The sequence below is a fragment of the Homo sapiens genome, chromosome 18 (genome assembly GCF_000001405.40).
Source record: "Homo sapiens chromosome 18, GRCh38.p14 Primary Assembly".
Classification (NCBI taxonomy): domain Eukaryota; kingdom Metazoa; phylum Chordata; class Mammalia; order Primates; family Hominidae; genus Homo; species Homo sapiens.
Window position 1 is genome coordinate 20,681,936 of NC_000018.10, and position 3,523 is coordinate 20,685,458.

The 3,523-nt window shown below is 38.6% G+C and overlaps 1 annotated feature.

The window, feature by feature from the left end:
* Positions 1–3,523: part of a centromere (Linear centromere model derived predominantly from reads generated in PMID: 17803354. This region does not represent an actual centromere sequence, as long-range ordering of repeats and unmapped WGS contigs is not provided by the model. For details of model production, see http://arxiv.org/abs/1307.0035.) that runs on past both edges of the window.

The following is a 3,523-nucleotide window of genomic DNA, read 5'->3' on the forward strand; positions in this document are numbered from 1 at the left end:
ATTTTGTTGGTAACGGGAATATCTTCATATAAAATCTAGACAGAAGCACTCTCAGAAACTACTTTGTGATATCTGCATTCAAGTCACAGAGTTGAATATTCCCTTTCTTAGAGCAGGTTTGAAACCGTCTTTTCGTGGAATCTGCAGGAGGATATTTGGATAGCTTTGAGGATTTCGTAGGAAACGGGATTACATATACAAAGTGGACAGCAGCATTCTCAGAAGCTTCTTTGTGATGTTTGCTTTTAAGTCACAGAGTTGAACATTCCCTTTCATAGAGCAGGTTTCAAACACTCTTTCTGTAATATCTGGAAGTGGCCATTTCGAGCGCTTTCAGGCCTATGGTGAACAAGGAAATATCTTCCCATAAAAACTAAACAGAAGCCTTCGCAGAAACTTGTTTGTGATGTGTGTCCTCAACTCACAGAGTTGAACATTTCGTTTGACAGAGCAGTTTGGAAACACGCTTTTTGTAGAATCTGCAAGTGGATATTTGGATAGCTTTGTGGATTTCCTTGGAAACGGGAGTATCTTCATATAAAACCTAGAAAGAAGCATTCTAAGAATCTTCTTTGTGATGTTTGCTTTTAAGTCACAGAGTTCAACATTCCCTTCCATAGAGCCGGTTTGAAACCCTTTTTTTGTAGTATCTGGAAGTGGACATTTCGAGCACTTTCAGGCCTATGGTGAAAAAGGAAATATCTTCCCATAAAAGCAATACAGAAGCATTCCCAGAAACTTCGTTATGATGTGTGTCCTCAGCTAACAGAGTTGAACCTTTCTAATTACAGAGCAGATTTGAAAGACGCTTTTTGGAGAATCTGCAAGTGGATATTTGGAGAGCTTTAAGGATTTCTTTGGAAACCGGAATATCTTCAGGTAAAATCTAGACGGTGGCATTCTCAGAAACTTCTTTGTGACGTGTGTCCTCAACTAACAGAGTTCAGCCTTTGTTATGATACAGCAGTTTGGAAACACTCTTTTTGTACTATCAGGAAGTGGACTTCTGGAGCGCTTTGACACCTTTGGTGATAAAGAGATGTCTTCCCATAAAAACCAGACGGAAGCATTCTAAGAAAATTCTTTGGTATATATGTACTCAACTAACAGAGTTGAACCTTTCTATTTATAGATCAGTCTTGAAAAGCTCTTTTCGTGGAATCTGCAAGTGAATCTTAGGATAGCTCTGAGGATTTCGTTGGAAAGGGTATTACATATAAAAGTAGACAGCAGCATTCTAAGAATCTTCTTTGTGATGTTTGCTTTTAAGTCACAGAGTTCAACATTCCCTTCCATAGAGCCGGTTTGAAACCCTTTTTTTGTAGTATCTGGAAGTGGACATTTCGAGCGATTTCAGGCCTATGTTGAAAAAGGAAATATCTTCCCATAAAAGCAATACAGAAGCATTCTCAGAAACTTCTTTGTGATGTGTGTCCTCAACTAACAGAGTTCAACCTCTCTTATAATACAGCAGTTTGAAAAAACACTTTTTGTAGAATATGCAAGTGGATATTTGAACAGCTCTAACTATTTCGTTCGAAATGGGAATATCTTCATATAAAATCTAGACAGAAGCACTCTCAGAAACTACATTGTGATATCAGTATTCAAATCACAGAGTTGAATATTCCCTTTCTTAGAGCAGGTTTGAAACCGTCTTTTCGTGGAAGCTGCAGGAGGATATTTGGATAGCTTTGAGGATTTCGTTGGAAACGGGATTACATATACAAAGTAGACAGCAACATTCTCAGAAGCTTCTTTGTGATGTTTGCTTCTAAGTCACAGAGTTGAACATTCCCTTTCATACAGCAGGTTTGAAACACTCTTTCTGTAGTATCTGGAAGTGGACATTTCGAGCGCTTTCAGGCCCATGGTGAAAAAGGAAATATCTCCCCATAAAAACTAGAAAGAAGCATTCGCAGAAACTTGTTTGTGATGTGTGTCCTCAACCAACGGAGTTGAACATTTCCTGTGACAGAGCAGTTTGGAAACACGCTTTTTGTAGAATCTGCAAGTGGATATTTGGATAGCTTTGTGGATTTCCTTGGGAACGGGAGTATCTTCATATAAAACCTAGACGGAAATATTCTCCGAAACTCCTTTGTAATGTCTGCATTCACGTCACAGAGTTGAACATTCCCTTTCATAGAGCAGGTTTGAAACACTCTTTCTGAAGTATCAGGATGTGGACACTTGGAGCGCTTTGACGCTTACGGTGAAAAAAGGAATAACTTCCCATGAAAACTAGACAGAAGCATTCTCACAAACTGGTTTGTGATGTATGTCCTCAACTAACAGAGTTGAACCTTTCTATTTACAGAGCAGTTTTCAAAGACTCTTTTTGGAGAATCTGCAAGTGGATATCTGGAGATCTTTAAGGATTTCACTGCAAACCGGAATATCTTCAGGTAAAATCTAGACAGAGGCATTCTCGGAAACTTCTTCGTGATGTGCGTCCTCAACTAACAGAGTACAACCTGTCTTTTGATACATCAGTTTGGAAACACTCTTTTTGTAGAATCTGCAAGAGGATATTTGGATAGCTCTAGCGATTTCGATGGATACGAGAATACCTTCATATGAAATCTAGACAGAGCCACTCTCAGAAACTGCTTTGTGATATCTGCATTCAAGTCACAGAGTTGAACATTCCCTTTCTTCGGGCAGGTTTGAAACACTCTTTTTGTAGTATCTGGAAGTGGACATTTGGAGCGCTTTGACGCCTTTTGTGAAAAAGGAAATGTCTTCACATAAAAACTAGACAGAAGCATTCTAAGAAAATTCTTTCGGATATATGTACACAACTAACGGAGTTGAATCATTCTATTTATAGATCAGTTTTCAAACGCTTTTTTTATGGAATCTGCAAGTGGATATTCGGATAACTCTGAGGATTTCGTTGGAGACAGGATTACGTATAAAAGTAGACAGCAGCATTCTCAGAAGCTTCTTTGTGATGTTTGCTTTTAAGTCACAGAGTTGAATATTCTCTTCCGTAGAGCAGGTTTGAAACACTCTTTCTGTAGTATCTGGAAGTGGACATTTCGAGCGCTTTCAGGCCTATGTTGAAAAACGAAACATCTTCCCATAAAAACTAGACAGAAGCATTCTCAGAAACTACTTTTTGATGTGTGTCCTCAACGAACAGAGTTCAACCTCTCTTATAATACAGCAGTTTGGAAACACTCTTTTTGTAGAGTATGCAAGGGGATATTTGGATAGCTCTAAGTATTTCGTTGGAAACGGGAATATCTTCATATAAAATCTAGACAGAAGCACTCTCAGGAACTAATTTGTGATATCTCCATTCAAGTCACAGATTTGAATATTCCCTTTCTCAGAGTAGGTTTGAAACCGTCTTTTCTTGGAATCTGCAGGAGGATATTTGGATAGCTTTGAGGATTTCGTTGGAAACGGGATTACATGTACAAACTCGACAGCAGCATTCTCAGAAGCTTCTTTGTGATGTTTGCTTTTAAGTCACAGAGTTGAACATTCGCATTCATAGAGCAGGTTTGAAACA